Raw genomic sequence first — 23,728 nt, forward strand, 5'->3', positions numbered from 1 at the left:
GGTGCGATCTCGGCTCACTGCAGCCTCTGTCTCCCAGGTTCAAGCCATTATCCGGCCTCAGCTTCCCAAGTAGCTGGGATTACAGGCTCGCCACCAACACACCCAGCAACATTTTGTATTTTTAGGAGAGATGGGGTTTCACCATGTTGGCCAGGCTGGTCTGGAACTCCTGACCCCAGGTGATCCACCTGCCTCAGCCTCCCAAAGTGCTGGGATTACAGGTGTGAGCCACCTTGCCCAGCCAATAAATGAATTTTTTTTTTTTAATTTCATGGTTTGTTTTTGTTTTTGTTTTTGAGACAGGATCTTATTCTGTCCCCCAAGCTGGAGTGCAGTGGCATGATCTCGGCTCACTGCAACCTCCGCATCCTGGGTTCAAGCAATTTTCCCACCTCAGCCTCCCAAGTAGCTGGGATTACAGGCATGCATCACCACACCCGGCTAATTTTTGTATTTTTAGTAGAGACGGGGTTTTGCCATGTTGGCCAGGCTGGTCTCAAACTCCTGGCCTCAAGTGATCCACCCGCCTCAACCTCCCAAAGTGCTGGGATTACAGGTGTGAGCCACCACACCCGGCAACCATTTTAACCATTTTTAAGTGTACAGTTCAGTCTGTTCAGAGGCATTAATACATCCACATTGTTGTGCAACCATCACCACTGTCTACCTATATAACATTTTATCCTCCCAAACTGAAACTCTGGACCCATTAAACAATTATTCCCATTTCTTCCTTGGAGTTTTTTTGTTTGTTTGTTTGTTCATTTGTTTGTTTGTTTGTTTTTTAGACACAGGGTCTTGCTGTGTCCCCTAGACTGGAGTGCAGTGATGGGATCATAACTCACTGCAGACTCCAACTCCTGGGCTCAAGGGATCCTCCCACTTTTCCATGTAGCTAGGACTACTAGTATGCACCTCCATACCTGCCTAATCTTTAATATTTTTTGTAGAGGCAGGGTCTTGCTGTGTTGCCTAGGCTGGTCTTGAACTCCTGGCCTCAAGCAATTCTCCCACCTCAGCCTCCCGAAGTGCTGGTGGTAATTCAATCAGTGGTCTTCTGCCCCAGTTTGCCTGCTACTCTTGACTCTTCAGAGCCCTCAGCTGGCTGTTCCCTGGGCTCTGCACAGGGTTTATAGCTGTCTTCAGCAGCAGAGACAGGGAGGCTTTGAATCAATCCCTCTGGCCATCCAGCAGACAGTTGACTGAAGGGGGCAAGGTTGGAAGTAAGGAGACCTGCGGGGAGGTCAGAGGAGGCTTCACAGAGGTGACCTCTGGATCGAATCTTAAAAGATAAGTGGCTGTTTTCAGAAGGGCTAGTTGTGGGTAGACCATTCAGGACAGAGAGATGGATCTGAGTGATGTCTTTTTTTTTTTTTTTTTTTTTTGAGACAGAGTCTCACTCTGTCTACCAGGCTGGAGTGCAGTGGTGCAACCTTGGCTCACTGCAACCTCTGCCTCCCGGGTTCAAGCGATTCTCGTGCCTCAGCCTCCTGTGTAGCTGGAATTACAGGCGCGTGACACCATGCCCATCTAATTTTTGTATTTTTAGTAGAGATGGGGTTTTACCATGTTGGCCAGGCTGGTCTTAAACTCCTAGTCTCAAACTCCTGGTCTCAAGTGGTCCGCCCACCTCAGCCTCCCAAAGGGCTGGGATTACGGGTATGAGCCACCGCGCCCGGTCCCTGAGTGATGTCGTGAGGGGCAAAAGACTGCGAAGCCTGGAAAGTAACACTTTGGGTTGTCTGAAGTGAAGAGGGCAAGGTTGGGCAGGATGAAGGGTGAGTGCCATGAGAAAGGGGCCAGCGAAATGGGCTGGGACTAGACGTTGAGAGGTGAGTGGTTGATTTCTGATTTCTATGGTTTGAAGAAAAAGACCCGATAACATTTTCCACTAGTGTAGAAGGAGGGGGAAGCCCCCACCCCCAGACCTGAGACAGGATGTGGGGATGCTTGTAGGTGTCTAAGGCCTTGGCAGGGAAGGTGGCATCTAATCTGGAAAGGCCAATGGCGCAGTTCCTGTGGAGAAAGAAGGGTGTGCAATTTTGCAGCTGCTGAAAGGGATTGTCATACTGCTGCAGCCTTTCTTGGGTTGGATGATCAAGAAGAGGGGTCAAGGGGATGTCTGCTTCTGAACCCAAGAGAATAAACTGAACAGTTCCCTAGGGCTTACTGTAAATGAGATAGCAGAGGTGGGAGAGGATGGGAGATCAGGTGTTTAAAGGTAGGAGTGACAAAGAGTGTTTGTTGTATCCCTTTTTTGGTTTTTGTTTTCTGGGTTTTTTTTGTTTTTTGTTTTTTGTTTGAGACAGGATCTCAACCTGTCACCCAGGCTGGAGTGCAGTGGCGTGGCATGATCTTGGCTCACTGTAGCCCTGACTCCCAGGGCTCGAGTGATCCTCCTACCTCAGACGGCTGAGTAACTGGGACTGCAGGGACACACCACCATGCCCAGCTCATTTTTGTATTTGTTGTTGAATCGGGGTTTTGCCATGTTGCCCAGGCTGGTCTCAAACTCCTGGATTCAAGCAATCTTCCTGCCTCAGCCTGCCAAAGTGTTGGGATTACAGGTGTGAGCCACCACACCCAGCTTATCTCTTTTTATACTTTTTAAATTTAGTACTTTAGTCATACAAGTTGGAGTCAGAAAAAAAAGGAAAAAAATAGTATTAGTTATCTATTGCTGCAAATAAGTTACCCTTAAACTCAGCAGCTAACGACAACATTTATTATCTCACACATTTTTTGAGGACAAGGAATCTGGAATCAGCTTTGCTGGGTGATTCTGGCTCAGGGTCTTTCATGAGGTTACAGTCAAAATGTCAGCCAGGGCTGCCATCATCTGAAGGTTTGACTGGGGCTGCAGGGTGCACTTCCAAGATGTCTCACTCGTGTGGCTGTTGGCTGGAGGTCTCAGTTCCTCACTAGCTGTTGACCAGAGGCCTCAGTTATTCTCCTTGTGGGCTTCTTCACAGAGATGCTCTCAATTTGACAGCTGGCTTCACCCACAACAAGGGATCCAAGAGAAAGATCCAAGACAGAAGCTACTGTGTCTTTTATAACCTAATCTCAGAAGTGTCATATAATATCATTTCAGCCATATTCTATTGGTCACACAGGCCAGTGCTGGTTCCGTGTGGGAAGAGACTACACAAGGATTTGAATACAAGTAGGTGGGGGTCATTGAAGGCCATCTTCAAAGCTGGTGACCACAGCACATGAATGTATTACCAATTCAGATTCTTTTGTGAATATAAAGATATCACTGAGACATATTATTAATAGAAAGAAGGCAAGTTGCCTGCATATATATAATCTCACTTAAAAAAGAAGCATGAAACCTACATATTTCTATTACATACACATATAAATATGTAGAAAAAGATTGAGAAGGATACACTTAAAACTGGTAATGGCTGGGCATGGTTGCACGCACCTGTAATTCTAGCACTTTGGGAGGCCGAGGTGGGTGGATCACCTGAGGTCAGGAGTTTGAGACCAGCCTGGCCAACGTGGCAAAACACTGTCTCTACTAAAAATACAAAAATTAGCCGGACGTGTTGGCATGCTCCTGTAATCCCAGCTACTCGGGAGGCTGAGGCAGGAGAATTGCTTGAACCTGGAGGGCGGAGGTTGTAGTGAGCCGAGATTGCGCCATTGCAACAAGAGTGAAACTCCGTCTCAAAAACAACAAGAACAACAACAAAAACTGGTAACAATGTCATCCCTGGGGAGGGAGATGGAATGGTAGGCATATTATGAAAAGGGAATCTACCAGGGCCGGGTGTGGTGGCTCGCACCTGTAATCCCAGCATTTTGGGAGGCCAAGGCCGGCAGATCATGAGGTCAGGAGATCGAGACCATCCTGGCTAACACGGTGAAACCCCGTCTCTACTAAAAATACAAAAAATTAGCCAGGCGTGGCGGAGGGGACCTGAAGTCCCAGCTACTCAGGAGGCTGAGGCAGGAGAATGGCATGAACCCGGGAGGTGGAGGTTGTAGTGAGCCAAGATCGTGCCACTGCACTCCAGCCTGGGTGACAGAGCAAGACTCCATCTCACACACACACACAAAAAAGAGAAGGGAACCTATCTTTTTTTTTTTTTTTTTGAGACAGGGTTACACCCTGTCACCTAGCCTGGAGTGCAGTGGTGCAATCTCAGCTCACCACAACTGCTGCCTCCCAGGCTCAAGTGATCCTCCCACCTCAGCCTCCCAAGTAACTGAGAATACAGGCACCACTACGCCCAGCTAATTTTTGTATTTTTTGTAGAGATGGGGTTTTGCCATGTTTCCCAGGCTGGTCACAAACTCCTGAGCTCAAGGGGTCTGTCCACCTCGGCCTCTTGAAGTGCTGGGATTACAGGCATGAGCCACTGCACCTGGCCAGGACAGACTTTTTTTTTTTGACGGAGTCTCACTCTGTCGCCCAGGCTGGAGCGCAATGGCATGATCTCAGCTCACTGCAACCTCCGCCTCCCAGGTTCAAGTGATTCTCCTGCCTCAGCCTCCTCAGTAGCTGGGATTAGAGGCACCCACCACCACACCCAGGTAATTTTTGTGTTTTCAGTAGAGACAGGGTTTCACCATATTGGCCAGGCTAGTCTCAAACTCCTGACCTCAGGTGATTTGCCCACCTCAGCCTCCCAAAGTGCTGGGATTACAGGCGTGAGCCACCTTGCCCCACTGGACCTATCACTTTTATATTACATATTTTTCTTGATGGTTTGAATCATTTGCAATAACTGTGTTCCTGGGTAACTGGTCTAATTTTCTGTCGCTGGATAGCAAAGCACCCCAAACTTAGTGGCATGAAACAACAATCCTTTTATTCCATTCACAGATTCTGTGGATCAGGAATTTGCACAAGGCACAACATAATTGGTTTGTCTCTGCTCCCTGATATATGGAGCCTGAGCTGGGAGATGACAACAGCTGGTGATGACTCACGTTTCTGGTGCCTGGGTTTGGATGACTAGCATGCTGGGCTCAGCTACAGCCATTGACTAGAACACCTACAAATGGCCTCTCACTGTGGCCTAGGCCTCCTTGCAGCGTGGAAGCTGTGTTCCAAGAGGGAATATTCCAGAAAGAAGCATTTGGAGAAAGAATATTCCAAGAGAACCAGGCAGAGCTGCATGTTTATTTATGACCCAACCTCAGAAGTCACATAGCATCACCTCTGCCATACTCTATTGGTGAAATCAGCCACAAGCCACCCAGATTCAAGGAAAGGGGACATAGACTCCCCTCCAATGGGAGGAGTGTCAAGGAATTTGCAGCCACTTCTTTAAAAACTGCCACATTTAGTTATAGAATTTATTGTATTATTTTATTTTTGTAGAGACATGATCTCACTGTGTGGCCCAGGCTGATCTTAAACTCCTGGCCTCAAGTGATCCTCCTGCCTCAGCCTCCTAAAGTGCTGGGATTACGGACGTGAACCACCATGCCTGGCCATGGGATTTAAAAATCTATTTTAGGTCGGGCACGGTGGCTCATGCCTGTAATCCCAGCACTTTGGGAGGCCGAGGTGGGCGGATCACTTGAGGTCAGGAGTTCAAAACCAGTCTGGCCAACATGGTGAAATGTTGTCTCTACTATAATTACAAAAATTAGCCAGGAGTGGTGGTGCACGCCTGTAATCCCAGATACTTGGGAAGCTGAGGCACGAGAATCGCTTGAATCTGGGAGGCAAAGGTTGCAGTGAGCCAAGATCGTGCCACTGCACTCCAGCCTGGGTGATACAGTGAGACCCTGTCTCAAAAAAAACATGTATTTTAAACAAAGGGTGAGCAATAAACATTGAGGCTGCCTTTCCTAAGACAGTGGGTTGGGAGCACCTAGGCACATGCTCATATCCCAGACTCTTAGCTCTTTCTGTTTTGTTGCCTTTATTGCTTTGAGTCTGATAATCTCGGAGAGACCTGAGGTAACTTGGCAGTTGTAACTTATAATTCTCTTTTTGTTTCTCTTCAGTACCTGGAGCCAAACCCTTTAGGTAAATATTTACGTATAGATTCATTTGTTCCCCTTATTCCCAGAAAAGATTTGAGGAAGCTTACAGGGATTCATACAGTATAATCGTATGATTAAAAATATATAAATAGATCAAGAAACCAAGGGAAAGGGAAAGGAAAGACTGAAACAGTAAGTTGAAACCAGAGGGGAAGTTAGTTCTCAAAAATATATGCTGCAAAGTCTTAAGTAAATATTTGTCATTGCAGGGCTGGAAAGCATAATGTATGTTATCTGATCTAATTACCCAACTGGCTCTTGAAATCCCTCTCTGACATCCCTACAGTAGCCATCTAGCCTGAGTTTGCACATTTCCAGTGACGGGGAGATCAGTACATTGCAAGGCAATTCCAACTGTTAGAAAGTATGGACCCAGGAGTCACAAATTCAAATGCTTCCAAGGGCTGGGCGTGGTAGCTCACACCTGTAATCCCAGCACTTTGGGAGGCCGAGGCAGGCGGATCACCTGAGTTCAGGAGTTCAAGACCAGCCTGGCCAACATGATGAAATCCCATCTCTACTAAAAATACAAAAACTAGCTGGGAGTGGTTGTGTACACCTGTAATTCCAGCTACTCAGGAGGCTGAGGCAGGAGAATCACTTGAACCTGGAAGGTGGAGGTTGCAGTGAGCTGAGATCGCGCCACTGCACTCCAGTCTGGGCAATAGAACGAGACTCTGTCTCAAAAAAAAAAAAAAAAAAAAAAACCACAAAAAAATCCCCAAATGCTTTCAAGGACCAGATGAATGAGGCAGGTCAATGTGGTGGAGTGGGGGCTGGGGGTCTAAGTCAAAGTGCAATGCACACACCCCCTTTAACTGTAGCAACTGCTACTCCTCCCAGCCAATTGTTGCCATATGGGACTTAGGTCCAGTGTAGCCAGATCTTTAGATATTTCAAGAGAAGCTGAAAAATCCCGATTTTATAGGAAATTTCCCTTTTTTTTTTGAGACAGGGTCTCACTGTGTCACCCAGGCTGGAGTGGTGGCATGATCTCAGCTCACTGCGACTTCTGTCTCCCGGGCTCAAGCAATCCTCCCACTTCAGCCTCCTGAGTATCTGGGACTACAGGTGCACACCACTACACCTGGCTAATTTCTGTAGAGACAAGGTTTTGCCATGTTGCCCAGGTCGGTCTCAAACTCTTGAGCTCAAGCGATCCACCCGCCTTGGCTTCCCAAAGTGCTGGGGTTACAGGCATGAGCCACTGTGTCAGGCAATTTCCTGGGTTTTAAATTGGCAATTAATTCTTTATTTTATTTTATTTTTGAGACAGAATCTCGCTCTTTTGCCCAGGTTGGAGTGCAGTGACACAATCTCGGCTCACTGCAACCTCCGCCTCCCAGGTTCAAGTGCTTCTTCCGCCTCAGCCTCCCAAGTAGCTGGGACTACAGGTGCCCGCTGCCACACTCAGCTAATTTTTGTATTTTTAGTACTGATGGGGTTTCACCATATTGGCCAGGCTGGTCTCGAACTCCCAACCTCGTGATCTGCGCGCCTCGGCCTCCCAAAGTGCTGGGGTTACAGGCGTGAGCCATTATGCCCGGCCTAATTCTCTAGTTTATAAAACACTGAACAGCCCACAGGAAATACAACTGCAGACCTGTGCTGTCTCTGGTTCACAGGCTTGTGAGTCCAAGGTGGCCAAAGTCTCAGGCTTTAAAGCTGGGTTAAAACAGGCTTTGAATCTCGCTCTGCGACTTACTCATTGCATAATTGTAGCCTCAATTCTCATCTGTAAAATGGGAATAATAATAGCACTTACCTACCTCTTTTTTTCCTTTTTCAGGGACGAAGTCTTGCTCTATCTCTCACTGCAGCCTCAAACTCCTGGGCTCAAGTGATCCTCCCACCTCAGTCTCCCAAGTAGCCAGAACTACTGGTACATGCCACCATAATTGACTAATTTTTAATTTTTTTTTTTTTTGTAGAGACAGGCTGGTCTCGGACTCCTGGGCTCAAAAGATCCTCCCACCTCAACCTCCCAAAGTGCTGAAATTATAGGTGTGGCCTGGCCAACAGAGCAAAACCGCGTCTCTACTAAAAATACAAAAATTAGCCAGGCGTTGTGTTGCACACCTGTAATCCCAGCTATTCGTGAGGCTGAGGCAGAAGAATCACTTGAACTTTGGAGGCAGAGGTTGCAGTGAGCTGAGATTGTGCCACTGCACTCCAGCCCAGGTGACAGAATGATACCCTGTCTCAATAAATAAATAAATAATGCTAAATATTAATAACTACAATAAATAAACTATTTTTGGCTGGGCACAGTGGCTCACTCCTATAATCCCAACACTTTTTGGGAGCCCAAGGCAGGTGAATTGCTTGAGCCCAGGAGTTCAAGACCAGCCTGGGCAACATAGGGAGACCCTGTCTCTACAAAAATACCAAAATTAGCTGAGTGCGGTGGTGTGTGGCTATAGTCCCAGCTACTTGGGAGGTTGAGGTGGGAGGATAGCTTGAGCCTGGATGTCAAGCCTACAGTAACCTGTGATTGTGCCACTGCACTCCAGCGTGGGTGACAGAGCAAGACCCTGTCTCAAAATCAATCAATCAATCAATCAATCAATCAGTAAAATAAATAAACTATTTTGAGGGTCTCTCTGGAGCTTTCATCCAGTAATTCCTGCTTTACCCATAAAGGCAATTTTTTTTTTTTTTAGACAGAGTCTCGCCGTTGCCCAGGCTGAAGTGCAGTGGCGTGATCTCAGCTCACTGCAACCTCCGCCTCCCAGGTTCAAGCAATTCTCCTGTCTCAGCCTCCTGAGTAGCTGGGATTACAAGCGTGTACCACCATACCTGGCTAATTTTTGTATTTTTAGTAGAGACAAAGTTTCACCATGTTGGTCAGGCTGGTCTCAAACTCCTGACCTCAGGTGATCCACCCGCCTTGGCCCCACAAAGTGCTGGAATTACAGGCGTGAGCCACCCCACCTGGCGAAGTAATTTTTTTTTTTTTTGAGACGGAGTCTCGCTGTGTTGCCCAGGCTGGAGTGGTTCCATCTTGGCTCACTGCAACCTCCGCCTCCCGGGTTCAAGTGATTCTCCTGCCTCAGCCTCTCGAGTAGCTGGGACTATAGGTGCGTGCCACCATGCCCGGCTAATTTTTTGTATTTCTAGTAGAGACAGGGTTTCACCGTGTTGGCCAGGGTGGTCTTGATCTCCTGACCTCGTGATCCGCCGGCCTCGGCCTCCCAAAGTGCTGGGATTACAGGTGTGAGCCACCATGTCCGGCCAAAGGTAATTTTTTATAAGACTGGTTGAGGTACGTTCCAAGGTTTCAGTGACTTTGGTTTTTGTTTTTTTGTTTTTGTTTTTTTTTGAGACAGGGTCTCACTCTGTCGCCCAGGCTGGAGTGCAGTGGTGATCTCAGCTCACCGCAACCTCCGCCTCCTGGGTTCAAGTGATTCTCATGCCTCAGCCTCCCAAGTAGCTAGGATTACAGGCATGCACCACCATGCCTGGCTAATTTTTGTATTTTTATTTTTATTTATTTACTTTTTTGAGACAGAGTCTCGCACTGTCACCCTGGCTGGAGTACAGTGACTATCTGATCTCGGCTCACTGCAACCTCCGCCTCCTGGATTCAAGTGATTCTCCTGCCTCAGCCTCTTGAGTAGCTGGGATTACAGGTATGCGCCACCACACCCAGCTAATTTTTTTTGTATTTTTAGTAGAGATGGGGTTTCACCATGTTGGCCAGGCTGATCTTGAACTCCTGACTTCGTGATTCACCCGCCTGGGCCTCCCAAAGTGCTGGGATTACAGGCGTGAGCCACCACACCCGGCCATTTTTGTATTTTTAGCAGAGATGGGGTTGGCCAGGCTGGTCTCGAACTCTTGACCTCAGGTGATCCACCCGCCTCCGCTCCCAAAGTGCTGGGATTACAGGCATGAGCCACCACGCCGGGCCAGGACTTTGTTTTTAATTATTAGAAGTACAGCTCACATTTTCCCTTTAAGTGCCAGAAATACGACATTTTCCTTTGTCCACAATGCAGATAAAACTCAGCTGAGTGAGGATGTCTGCAGGATCCTGCTTCTTTGGGATGGTGGGCAATGAACAACTATGGACATAGGTGTGTTGTTTGTAGGTGAAGAGAGGGGTTTAGTGGAGAGGGCATTCTAGGTGAGGAGAACCGGTGGAACAAAGTATTTAGAGGCGGGTGAGCTCCTGGAGCCTGATCAGAGAAAAAAGGGAAATATCGCCAATACTTAAGTTGGGCCTGGTGTTGACAGGAAGACAACCTGGCCTAACCTCTGGAAAATGGGGAGCCATTAGAGAGATGTAAGCAGGGCAGTTCTGCAGAAACACACAAAGAGGGCTAACCAAGAATGATCACGGTTTGCAAGTCACTCACTGAATGTGCTTCTGAAAGGACTCGTCTCAAATCAGTTATATATTGTGTCTCTTCTCCAGAGTCTGGGAGCCTCCAGGGACGAGGGGAATAGGATATTTTTCATCTCTCTGTCCTAGAAACACACCCAATATTTGCAGAGGACTTGAGAGAAGGGGAGGGACTGAGCTGGGGTCACCTGATTGTAGGCAGAGGAGAGAGTGTGAGCTCTGGGTTACAACCTGACTCTGCCACGAGGTAGCTACACAACCTTGGCTAGTTAATGAACTGAGCCTCAGTCTTCCCATCTGTAAGGTGGGGATAATAATAGTACCTTTGGGCCGGGTGCGGTGGCTCACGCCTATAATTCCAGCACTTTGGGAGGCCGAGGTGGGCAGATTACCTGAGGTCAGGAGTTCGAGACCAGCCTGGCTAACATGGTGGAACCCCGTCTCTACCAAAAATACAAAAATTAGCTGGGCATGGCGGCGGGCGCCTGTAATCCCAGCTACTCTGGAGGCTGAGGCAGGAGAATCGCTTGAGGTGGGAGGCGGAGGTTACAGTGAGCCAAGATCACACCACTGCACTCCAGCCTGGGCAACAAGAGTGAAACTCCATCTCAAAAATAATAATAATAATAATAATAATAATAATAATAATAATAATAATAATAAAAATAATAGTACCTTCATGATAGAATGATTACAAAGACTGATGTGCTTAACTCATAAGTGCTCAATAAATGTCCTTTTGGGGATTTTCAGCTCCCCCAGCAGCCTTCCCCTTGGTCTCCTTGCCTTAGCCCCCAACATTGTGTCTGTGGATTATCGTCTCCCACTGCCCTCCACCCCTTTTGCTCTCACCCTTTCATTTCCTGATCCCACTTTCCTACTGGTCAAATATGAACCATTGCATGTATTTACTTCTGATGCTTTTTAGGAAAAGACAAAATGTCACACCCAGCTGAAAAATGGAAGAATTTGGTCTTGAATCCAGGTCAAGTTCATGAACTCTTATACCACCCTCTGCTCTTTGGGTCCATTACGTACTGGCTGTGAGAAATCAAGTTTCTAGGTGGGGCACAGTGGCTCATGCCTGCAATCTCAGCACTTTGGGAGTCTGAGGTGGGAGGATCACTTTGAGTCCAGGAGTTTGAGACCAGTCTGGAAAACAAAGTGAGTTCCCATTTCTACAGAAAATTTTATAATTAGCCAGGTGTGGCTGTGTGCACCTGTAGTCCCAGCTACTGGGGAGGCTTAGGTGGGAGAAGTGCTTGAGCCCTGGAGGTTGAGGCTGCAGTGATCTGTGATCGTGCCACTGTACTCCAGCCTGGGCAGCAGAGTGAGACCCTGTGTCAAAAAAAAAAAAAAAATAAGTGTTCCTGTCCAGCTCCACAGCTGTCAATGGTAGACCTGAGAGCCACACTTATGTCTGCCTGGCTCCAAATCTGGTGATTCTCCCCTACCCCATGCTCCCCAGTCTCCATGTGGAATCTTTAGTGGCCTTTTAGTGGAATCACCATGCTTCTCCTATATGGTCATTAAATACTGGAGCATTTCACTATAGCGCTTGATTATCAACTGTCACAGAAATTCTGTGAGGTCATCCAGCGGGAGTCATGCCCATTTGTGGATGAAGAAACTGAGGCTCAGAGAGAGAAAGCGACTAGTCCAAGTCCACATTGACTTTATATAGTCAATATTCTCCACACTTCCAGGGTCCTAGCCTAGTGAAAACTCTACACCTTAACCACTTTAAGGGGTCACATACCTCCTAAAGCATTGTCCTTCACACAATTGTTTCAGTAAATGTTTCCTGACGGATTGGCCACCCCTGTGTCAGATGCCAGTTTTCTGTAGAGCCTGAGTCGTGTGCCCAAGGCACAGGAAATGGCCTTGCTTCTCAGAGAAGGAGAGGATAAGTGACCATATCCTGATGGACCGTCTTGACTTTCCAGGTGGTGACCATTACAGGGTGATAGTCACCATGTCCAAATGGTGGAGTTGAGAATGGTGGCCTTCATTAAGACCACGAACAGGCCAGGCGTGGTGGCTCACACTTGTAATCCCAGCACTTTGGGAGGCTGAAGCAGAAGGATCACTTGAGGCCAGGAGTTCGAGGCCAGCCTGGCCAACATGGCAAAACCACATCTCTACTAAAAATAGAAAAATTAGCCAGGCGTGGCAGTGCATGCCTGTAATCCCAGCTACTTGGGAGGCTGAGACACGAGAATCCCTTGAACCTGGAAGTCAGAGGGTGCAGTGAGCCGAGACTGCACCACTGCACTCCAGCTTAGGTGACAGAACGAGACTCTGTCTCAAAAAAAAAAAAAAAAAAAAAAAAAAAAGAAGACCACAACAGCTGCTTTATTTTAACAATAAACATGATTCCTCCTTACTATATACAATTTAGAAAATAGGAAAAGCTGTTAAGAGGAAAATAAGAATCAACTATAATCTGAATACCCAAAGATAATGACCATTGCAAATATTTGATGTATTTCCCTCTAGATTTCTCTGTGCCAACACACATGCACACATACTTCCTATTAGGTCAAATGTGTGATCATAAAAAAACTACAGTAACATACCTGTAGCAGATGCTATTGATTGCCTACTCAATACACACTCTCCCTTCTCCCTGTTTACATAACTCCAATTTTTTTTTTTGAGACAGGGTTTCACTGTTTCCCAGACTGGAGTGCAGAGGCGTGATCACGGCTCACTACAGCCTCAACCTCCTGAGCTCAGGTGATCCTCCCACCTCAGCCTCCTGAGTAGCAGGGACTACAAGCGTGAGCCACCACACCCAGCTGATTTTAAATTTTTTTGTAGAGATAGGATCTTGCTTTGTTTTCCATGCTGGTCTCAAACTCGTGGGCTCAAGCAATCCTCCCACTTCAGCCTCCCAAAGTTCTGGGATTACAGGCGTGAGCCACCTTGCCCAGCAGAACTCTAATTTTGTTTTTAGGTAGTCGTGGAGTTGCCTTAATCTTAGAGAAGATTTAACCTGTGCCAGGTGATGAATCACGGCTGGTCTAGACCAGTCATGGTAATCTGATTCCCCTTCTAGATTGGATTGCTGCATTGTCTAACATGGTTGTCATTACCCACGCCGGTGGCTTTTTAAACTAATGTTAATTAAAATTAAATCAAATTTAAAATGCAGTTTTTCTGCTGCACTAGCCACATTTTAAGTGTTTAAGAGCCATCCATGGCCGGGCGTGGTGGCTCATGCCTGTAATCCCAGCACTTTGGGAGGCTGAGGCTGGCAGATCATGAGGTCAGGAGTTCGAGACCAGCCTTGCCAACATGGTGAAACCCTGTCTCTACTGAAAATACAAAAATTCACCGGGCATGGTGACAGGCGACTGTAATCCCAGCTACTTGGGAAGCTGAGGCAGGAGAATTGCTTGGACCCAGGAGGCGGAGGTTGCAGTGAGCCAAGATCATGCCATTACACTCCAGCCTTGGTGACAAGAGCCAGACTTTGTCTCAAAAAACAAAAGCAAAAACAAAAACAAACAAAAAATGCCATCCATGACTAGTGGCTACCATTTTGGACAACACAGATATAGGACATTTCCATCACTACAGAAAGTTTTATTGGACAGTGCTGGGGGTATGCAAGTGGTCCAATTCTGGCCAATGAAACACGAGTGGTAAGTTTGGGGGGACTCCCCTACATAGATAGAAAAAAAGAGCCTCATTAGGACAGAACCTCTGTTCCTGCATCTTCCTGTCCAAGACCCTGGTGTGAGTATGATGTCTAGCAGCCATCTTGCAACCACAAGATAACAAGTGCGAGGACAAAAAGACAAATTGTGAGGATGGCGATGGAATAGGATGAAAATAGGCTGCTTCTTTCTTTCTTTTCTTTCCCTTTTTTTTTTGAGATGGAGTTTTGCTCTTTCGCCCAGGCTGGAGTGCAGTGGTGCAATCTCAACTCACTGCAACCTCTGCTCCACCGGGTTCAAGCGATTCTCCTGTCTCAGCCTCCTGAGTAGCTAGACTACAGGTGCCCGCCACCATGCCAGGCTAATTTTTGTATTTTTAGTAGAGACAGGATTTCGCCATGTTGGCCAAGCTGGTCTCGAACTCCTGACCTCAAGTAATCCACCTGCCTTGGCCTCCCAAAGTGCTGCGATTACAGGCATGAGCCACTGCACCCAGCCTCTTTTCTTTTTTAAAATTGCGTAAGGGTTGGGCACTGTGATTCAAGCTTGTAATCCCAACACTTTAGGAGGCCGAGATGGGAGGATCGCTTGAGCCCAGGAATTCAAGACCAGTCTGGGCAACATACAAAGATAAAAAATTAGCTGAACATGGTGGCACATGCCTGTAGTCCCAGCTACTCAGGAGGCTGAGGTGGGAGGATCGCTTGATCCCTGGAGGTTGAGGCTGCAGTGAGCAGTGATTGTGCCACTCACTGCACTCCAGCCTGGTACAGAGCTAGACCCTGTCTCAAAAAAATTAAAATAAAAAATAAAATTGTGGTAAAATACATATAAAATATACCATATTAGCCCTCTTTTAGTGTACGGTTCAGTAGTGTTAAGCACGTTTACATGATTGTGCAGCCAATCCTCAGAGCTCTTTTCATCTTCCAAAACTGAAACTCTGTCTCCATTAAACAATTTCCCATTTTCTCTCCCCAGCACCTAGCAACTACCACTCTATTTTCTATCTCCACGAATTTGACTACTCTAAGTACTTCATACAGGTGAAATCATGCTGTGTTTGTCCTTTTGTGACTGGTTTGTTTATTTATTTGTTTACATATATATATATATATATATATATATATATATATGTATATATATTTTTTTTTTTTTTTTTTGAGACAGAGTCTCTCCCTGTCACCCAGGCTGGAGTGCAATGGTGTGATCTCGGCTCACTGCAACCTCCACCTCCTGGGTTCAAGCGATTCTCCTGCCTCAACCTCCTCAGTAGCTGGGATTACAGGTGCCTGCCACCATGCCCAGCTAATTTTTGTGTTTTTAGTAGAGACGAGGTTTCACCATGGTAGCCAGGCTGGTCTCGACCTCCTGACCTCGTGATCCACCTGCCTGGGCCTCCCAAAGTGCTGGGATTACGGGCATAAGCTACCACGCCTGGCTTTTTTTTTTTGAAACAGAGTCTTGCTCTGTCACCCAGGCTGGAGTGCAACGGCGTGATCTCAGCTCACTGCAACCTTCGCCTCCCAGGTTTAAGCGATTCTCCTGCCTCAGCCTCACGAGTAGCTGGGGTTACAGGTGCACACCACCACACCCAGCTAGTTTTTGTATTTTTAGTAGAGACAGTATTTCACCATGTTGGCCAGGCTGGTCTTGAACTCCTGACCTCAAGTGATCTGCCTGCCTGGGCCTCCCAAAGTTCTGGGATTACAGGCATGACCCACCGCTCCCAGCCCGTGACTGGTTTATTTAACATAATACCCTCAAGATTCATCCATGTTGTAGCATGTGTCAGAATCTCATTCCTTTTTGAAGTTGAACAATATTCTATTTTATGTTTATACTACATTTTATTATCCATTTATCCGTTGAGGGACAATGGGTTGCTTCTACCTTTTGGCTATTGGGAATAATGCTGCTATGAACATAGGTAAACAAAAATCTCTTTGAGACCCTGCTTTCAATTCTGTTGGGTATTTAAAGTGGAATTGCTGGATCATATAAAAATCTATTTTTAGTTTTTTGATGAACTAACACTGCAGCACCTCTACCATTTTACATTTCCACCAACAGCGCATAAGGTTTCCAATTTCTCCATCCTTGCCAACACGTATTTCCTGTTTTTTTATTTTTATTTTTTATAATAATCATCTAATGGGTTTGAGGTGCTAGCTCATTGTGGTTTGATTTGCATTTCCATAATTAGTTATTTTGGATATCTTTTCATGTGTTTCATTTCTTTTTTTTTGAGAGGGAGTTTCACTCTTGTTGCCCAGGCTGGAGTGCAGTGGCACGATCTCTGCTGGCAGCAACCTCCACCTGCTGGGTTCAAGTGATTCTCTTGCCTCAGCCCCCCAAGTAGCTGGGATTACAGGCGCCTGCCACCATGACCAGCTAATTTTGTATTTTTAGTAGATGTAGGGTTTCACCATGTTGGTCAGGCTGGTCTCAAACTACTGACCTCAGGTGATCCCCCCGCCTTGGCCTCCCAAAGTGCTGGGATTACAGGCGTGAGCCACCACGCCTGGCCGTTTTTTTTGCCATTTCTGTAGTTTCTTTGGAGAAATGTCTATTCAAGTCCTTCGCCCATTTTCTATTCTTTATTTTTTTGAGACAGGCTTACTCTGTCACCCAGGCTGGAGCACAGTGATGCAATCATGGCTCACTGCAGCCTTGACCTCTCAGGATCAAATGATTGTTATACCTCAGCCTCCATGCCAGGCTAATTTTTTTTTCCTTGCTTTTTGGTAGAGGCAGAGTCTTAACACGTTGCTCAGGCTGCCTTGAATTCCTGGTCTCATGCCATCCTCCTGCCTTGGCTTCTAAAAGTATTGGGATTACAGGTGTGAGCCACCACACCCAGCTTTTGTCCGTTTTTAATTGGGTTGTTTATATGTTTGTTGTTGAGTTGTAGGAGTTATTTTTGTTTTTTGCAGACAGAGTTTTGCTCTTGTTGCCGGGCACGATCTTGGCTCACTGCAACCTCTGCCTCCAGGGTTCAAGCGATTCTCCTGCCTCAGCCTCCCAATTAGCTGGGATTACAGGCATGCGCCACCATGCCTGGCTAGTTTTTGTATTATTAGTAGAGATAGAGTTCACCATGTTGGCCAGGCTGGTCTCAAACTCCTAAGCTCAGGTAATCTATCCCCTTCCCAAAGTGCTGGGATTACAGGCATGAGCCACCGCACCAGGCCAGAGTTCCTTATAGAACCTGGATATTAACCCCTTAATATATGAATTGCAACTGTTTTCTCCCATTCCGTGTGTTGCCTTTTTAATTCTGTTTATTGTATAAGAAACTTTCTTGAAGACCACCATAGAGCAGTTAAAAATTTTTCCTAATGAGTATAGATATCCTTTTACTTTCTTATATTTTCATGAGCATTTCCCCATATCATTGGATGCTATTGAAAAATATCATTTCCCTCCCTCCCTTCCTTCCTTCCTTCCTTCCTTCCTTCCTTCCTTCCTTCCTCTCTCTCTCTCTCTTTCTTTCTTTCTTTTTTTTTTCTTTCTTTCTTTCTTTCTTTCTAGACAGAGTCTTACTCTGTTGCCAGGCTGGAGTGCAGTGGTGCGATCTCGGCTCACTGCAACCTCTGCCTCCCGGGTTTAAGTGATTCTCCTGCCTCAGCCTCCCAAGTAGCTGGGACTACAGGTGTGCACCACCATGCCCAGCTAATTTTTATATTTTTAGTAGAGATGGGTTTTTACCATGTTGGTCGGCATGCTCTCGATCTTCTGACCTTGTGATCCACCCGCCTTGGCCTCCCGAAGTGCTGGGATTACAGGCGTGAGACATCGCGCCCGGCTGAAAAATATTATTTTCAATGGCAGCATGATATTTCTCCTTACTGACATCTCTTATTCTCTCCATTCCTCTAATATCAGACATAATATTTCCCTGTTGCAAGTGAAGCTGAGGTGAACAAGCTTGTGCCTAATCTTTGCGAGTATATCTCATTATTTTCTCAAAATTGATTCCTAGAAATGGAATGGGCTGACTCAAATGCTTTTTAGTCATCATGATTATTTTATTTATTTATTTATTTTTGAGACGGAGTCTTGCTCTGTCGCCCAGGCTGGAGTTCAGTGACGCAATCTTGGCTCACTGCAAGCTCCGCCTCCCGGGTTCAAGCCATTCTCCCGCCTCAGCCTCCCGAGTAGCTAGGGCAACAGGCGCCTGCCACCATGCCCGGCTAATTTTTTTGTATTTTTAGTAGAGACGGGGTTTCACCGTGTTAGCCAAGATGGTCTTGATCTCCTGACCTCGTGATCTGCCCGCCTCGGCCTCCCAAAGTGCTGGGATTACAGGCGTGAGCCACTGCACCCGGCCATGATTTATTTTCTTACAATTTGTGGCAATTTCTCAATACCATCAGCAATGGGATGAAAGTGCTCCTTGCCAACATTGTGTATGATGCTTTTTCTCTCTCTCTCTCTTTTTTTAAGCCAAGGTCTCACTCTGTCACCCAGGCTGGAGTGCAGTGGCACAATCATGGCTCACTCAGCCTTGACCTCCTGGGCTCCAGCAATCATCCTGCCTTAGCCTCCCCAGTAGCTGAGACTACAGGCATGTGCCACCACACCTGGCTAATTTTTAAATTTTGTTGTAGAGATTGGGGACTCACTATGTTATCCAGGCTGCTCTCAATCTCCTGGGCTCAAGCAATCCTCCTGTCTTGGCCTTCCAAAGTGCTGGGATTATAGGTGTGAACAACTGAGCCCAGCCAAGTATGATGCTTTAAAAAAAAATCTGCTAATTTGAGAAGTAAATGATGATAATATATTTTTTTTGTTTGTTTTTGAGACAGGGTCTCACTCCATTACCCAGGCTAAAGTGCAGGGGCATGATCTTGGCTCACTGCAGCCTCAAACTCCTAGGCTCAAAGGATCCTCTTGCCTCAGCCTCCCAAATAGCTGGGACTATAGGCATGCACCACCAGCTAATTTTTTTTTTTTTTTTTTTGAAACAGAGTCTTGCTCTGTTGCCCAGGCTGGAGTGCAACAGCGTGATCTCGGCGCACTGCAACCTCCGCCTTCCGGGTTCAAGCAATTCTCCTGCCTCAGCCTCCCGAGTAGCTGGGATTATAGGCACCCACCACCACACCTGGCTAATTTTTTTGTATTTTTAGTAGAGACAGGGTTTCACCGTGTTAGCCAGGACGGTCTTGATCTCCTGACCTCATAATCCACCTGCCTTGGCCTCCCAAAGTGCTGGGATTATAGGCGTGAACCACCACGCCTGACTGCTAATTTTTTAATTTTAATTTTTAGGGATGAAGTCTCTCTACATTGCCCAGGCTGGTCTCAAACTCCTGGTGTCAGGGGATCCTCCCACCTTGGGCCCCCAGGATGCTGGGATTACAAGCATGAATTACCTCGCCTGTCAAATACATGTTTTTAAATAAGTGTACTGCGTGCAGTGCACCAGCCACTGTGCTAAGCACAGAGGATACAAATAAGTAACATAAAACCCGGTCCTGGGACCTAGGTGGTAGTTTTGGTCTGTCAAGGGATTTTATGACCTCCTCCTGGCTCTAAGACTTTAATATCACTGTTTTCTTGGCCAGGCACAGTGGCTCACGCCTGCAATCCCAGCATTTTGGGAGGCCGAGGCAGGTGGATCATTTGAGGTCAAGGAGTTCGAGACCAGGCTGACCACCATGGTGAAACCCCATCTCTACTAAAAATACAAAAAAAAAAAAAAAATTAGCTGGCCATGGTGGCACATGCCTGTAATCTCAGCTACTAGGGAGGCTGGGGCAGGAGAATCGCTTGAACTCGGGAGACGGAGGTTGCAGTGAGCCGAGACCATGCCACTGCACTCCAGCCTAGGCGAAAGAGCAAGACTGTGTCTCAAAAAAATAAAAAAAAAAAGAGTATTGTTTTCTTTATTTCAGTATTACTATGTATGGGCCTTACAAATGGGAAAGCATTTCACACCCATTCCCTGGGTAAACCCTCACAGCAGCCCTGAGGGAAGCAGGCAGGGAAACGAGGTCCTGAGGGTGAACTCACTTGCCCAAGATCACACAGCCAGTTAAGTGCCTGAGGAGGAAGCAATTAGCAGCCAACTCCTGTCTGGCTTTCTTCAGAAAACATCAAAGATGTGAATTTAGAAGCCATTAGCTTGATCCTCAGCCCTTAGAGCCTCCCTGAGGTCCCAGAGTTCCATCCATTCTGAACCTGGGCACTCCGCCAAGTGAGAAGCATCAAGCACAGCTCAGGTGCTTGGCTTCAGTCCAAGCCCTACATCTTGTTTCTTCCTGAAAGGGGCGCTGGGATGTCACCTCCTTGCATTCTAATAAATAGTTCCCTTTGCAGTCTTTTTATACAACCCCTCTTCAGCCCTCCTCCCCAAATGGTATTAAATTTCCAGGAATACTGAACTCTCTCACCAGCATGACTTCTCACATTTACAGTGATTGCTTTGCTGGAGGGCACCATGACTCCACTGATAAAGAAAGGAAAGACAGCCACCATTCATGGAGAACGTACTAAGTGCATCTTTTTTTTTTTTTTTTTTTTTTTTTTTTTTTTTTTTTTTTTTGAGACAGAATCTTGCTCTGTTGCCCAGGCTGGAGTGCAGTGGTGTGATCTCAGCTGATTGCAGCCTCAACTTCCTGGGCTCAAGCAATCCTCCCATATCAACCTTCTGAGTAGCTGGGGCTACAGGTGTGCACCACCATGACCGGCTAATTTTTGTATTTTTTGTAGACACAGGGTTTTGCCATGTTGCCCAGGCTGATCTTAAACATCTAAGCTTAAGCAGTCCACCGGCCTTGGCCTCCCTAATTACAGGCGTGAGCCACTGTGCCCAGCCCCAGACCATATTTTAGTTAATCCTCACAACAAACCTAAGCAGTTGCATTTCTAGCTCCACTTTGCATATGAGAAATGTGAGTCCCAGAGAGGTCAAGTGATGTGCACTGGGTCACTCAGCTAACACATAAGGAATGGAGCTGGGATTCAAACCTTTGACTGTCTGGACCCCGCAGTCCATGCTTGTCATTTTCATAGCTCAGAGATGCACTGTCCAATGTGATAACCACTAGCTGCATGTGGCTGCTTAGGCATAAATTAATTAAAATTAAATAAATACAATTCAGTTTTTCAGTAGCACTAGACTCATTTCAAGTGCTCAATAGCCACATGTGGCTGTTGGCTGCCTTATTGGACAGCACAGATATAGAACATGTCCACCACGGTGGAAAGATCTGTTGGACAGCGCTGCTCTCAAATGTGAGAGAAGAAAGAAAACATCGTGATTTTACCCTTGCATGGGGAGCCAGGCCATCTGCCACTTGTCAGCTTTGTAGAGAGTTCATCGGAAGTTATTTTTCCTGGATGAGATCATAATAAAACCATCCATGGGTGTCTGGGCTATGTTTTACCTTTCTCCTGGTTTGGCCTCCATTCATCCCCATCCATGATAGATGCAAGCATGCCCTTTCCCACACTCCCCTGCTGCCACCCAGTCGCCAGGTATCTAGTGCCTTTCTCTGTCATACAGGATTTGGGTTATCTTAGTCACTAAAGTGGGGCATCCTCACAGGACAACTCAGATGGAGACTGAGCAAAATTTTATAACACAGTGGGCTTAATTCCAGCTGGGTGGTCCCTGGGCGACATGCCTGCCACTGGGGAGGAGGGTCCTCACTGACTGACGTTGAGGAGGAGGGCTAACGGAGTTTCTTGGCAAAGGGGATGTCTGGTTATAAAGGGATTCTTCCCCCCGCTTAGCAACAGAACCCCCTCCCTATGTCTGGGGACTCCTTACTTTGTGAACGGAAGGCAGTCTTCTTCCTACCATAGAAGCCAAAAGGTCAGATGTTTGTCTTTACAGCTTCCACTGCAGGTAGGAGATGGGCATGTGATCAAGGATCAACCAATTAAGGCTTGGGTTATAGAGGTCGAGACTGTGGGGAATCCTTATGGAGAGGGAAGGTGAGAATGGTCTTGAGACAGTGCCCATGGCCAGGTAGCCATGGTGAAAGCAGGGCAACTAGTGTTCTCACCATACAAGTCCAGTAGTACATGGTCCCACGTGGCCTCGCCTTTCTTATTAGTGGCCACTTCTAGAAACTTCCTGGTGATTTTGTGGCCTTCCTACTACCCTGCTAATAAATTCCTTTTCTGCTACCATCAGAATTGGTTTCTATTATTTATGATATCTATTATTATGATAAACTGACACAATGGTGCTCGCTGGAATTAGATCATTTCTAGGCTAGAGTTTGCTCTTGGGGAGGTAGGAAGGAGGATCTCTGCTCTGGTCCATGTGATCTCTCCAGGACCCTTTTTTTCCAGCCCCACTGGCCTCCTTCCTCTTTTTGCATCCTCACCATCTCTCCCCTTCATTGAACTGAGCAAATCTCCAGAATTGAGAGGTTTGGAAGCCCTACTCTGACTTTTCAAAACTTCTTTCATTCCCTGAGTCTCCTCCCCAAGATTCTGGGGCTCAGAAAGTCCTTTCTCTATTTTTCTACTGAAATAACTCTTTTCTGAGCAATAAATACCTCACAGTCCAGGTTAGATGGAAAAGAGGACACAGTATGGAAAGGAAATGCCAGGAGTGGAAACATACTTGGTAATATAGAAGTTACCCCATCATACTAGGGTGACCACTCATCCTAGTTTGCCTGGACTAAGGAGTTTCTTGGGACATGGAACTTTTGGTGCTAAAACAGGGACAGACCTGTGCAAACTAGAACAAGTTAGTCACCCTACAACTGTACAGCTACTACTACTAATCCCACTTCAATACACAGCTTTATTCAGCTTGCTAAGGACAGAATCAAGACCAGACCGTCATCAACAATGCCTTACCAAAGTTCTTTTTTCGGCCAGGTGCAGTGAGTGGGTCATGCCTGCAATCCCAGCACTTTGGGAGGCTGAGGCAGGTGGATCACTTGAGGTCAGGAATTCGAGACCAGCCTGGTCAACATGGCGAAACCCTGCCTCTACTGAAAAATACAAAAATGAGCCAGGCATGGTGGCACATGTCTGTAATCCCAGCTACTCAGGAGGCTGAGGCATGAGAATCACTTAAACCCGGGAGGTAGAGGTTGCAGTGAGCTGAGATTGCGCCACAGCACTCCAGCCTGGGCAACAGAGCAATATTCTGTCTCAAAAAAAAAAAAAGTTGTTTTAATTTTCATTTCTTTAATATGAGTAAGCATAAGTATCTTTCCTTTTCCTATGTTTAAAAGCAATATTTTCTATTCCTTTTCTCTGAACTATCTGTTCATACCTTTTACCTACCTGTTTAAAAAAATTTTTAAATAGTTTTTGTACATATTTATGGGGTACATGTGCAATTTTGTTACATGCATAGAATGTGTAATGATAAAGTCAGGGTATTTAGGTTATCTATCACCCAAGTATTTATCATTTCTATGTGTTGGGTACATTTCAGGTCTTCTAGCTGTTTTGAAGAACACAATACATTTTTGTTAAATAGCAGTAAACACATCCAGTTAAACATAGTGGATTGATGATGCGTATTTATTTTTTTCTCCCTCGAACCCCATCTATATGGCAATAAGGAATAAAAAATGTATTAACCCAGAACATGAATAGGAATGAAAAGGAGACATTAGTGGCCCAGGGATTTCAGCAAGTTTTTAGAAAACAGGGACAGAAGGGGAAGTAGTAACTGACTTAACAGGGGGAGGAAGTTATGACCCAAATGTCTGCA

The 23,728-nt window shown here is 46.3% G+C and overlaps 1 annotated feature.

The window, feature by feature from the left end:
• Positions 19,854–20,385: an enhancer, noted in NCBI's record as "NANOG hESC enhancer chr20:30858165-30858696 (GRCh37/hg19 assembly coordinates)". NCBI's record gives its function as "activates a minimal SCP1, AML or CMV promoter by ChIP-STARR-seq in primed H9 embryonic stem cells {active_cell/tissue: H9 hESC(primed)}" and the evidence as "EXISTENCE:reporter gene assay evidence [ECO:0000049][PMID:30033119]".

The sequence above is a fragment of the Homo sapiens genome, chromosome 20 (genome assembly GCF_000001405.40).
Source record: "Homo sapiens chromosome 20, GRCh38.p14 Primary Assembly".
Lineage (NCBI taxonomy): Eukaryota > Metazoa > Chordata > Mammalia > Primates > Hominidae > Homo > Homo sapiens.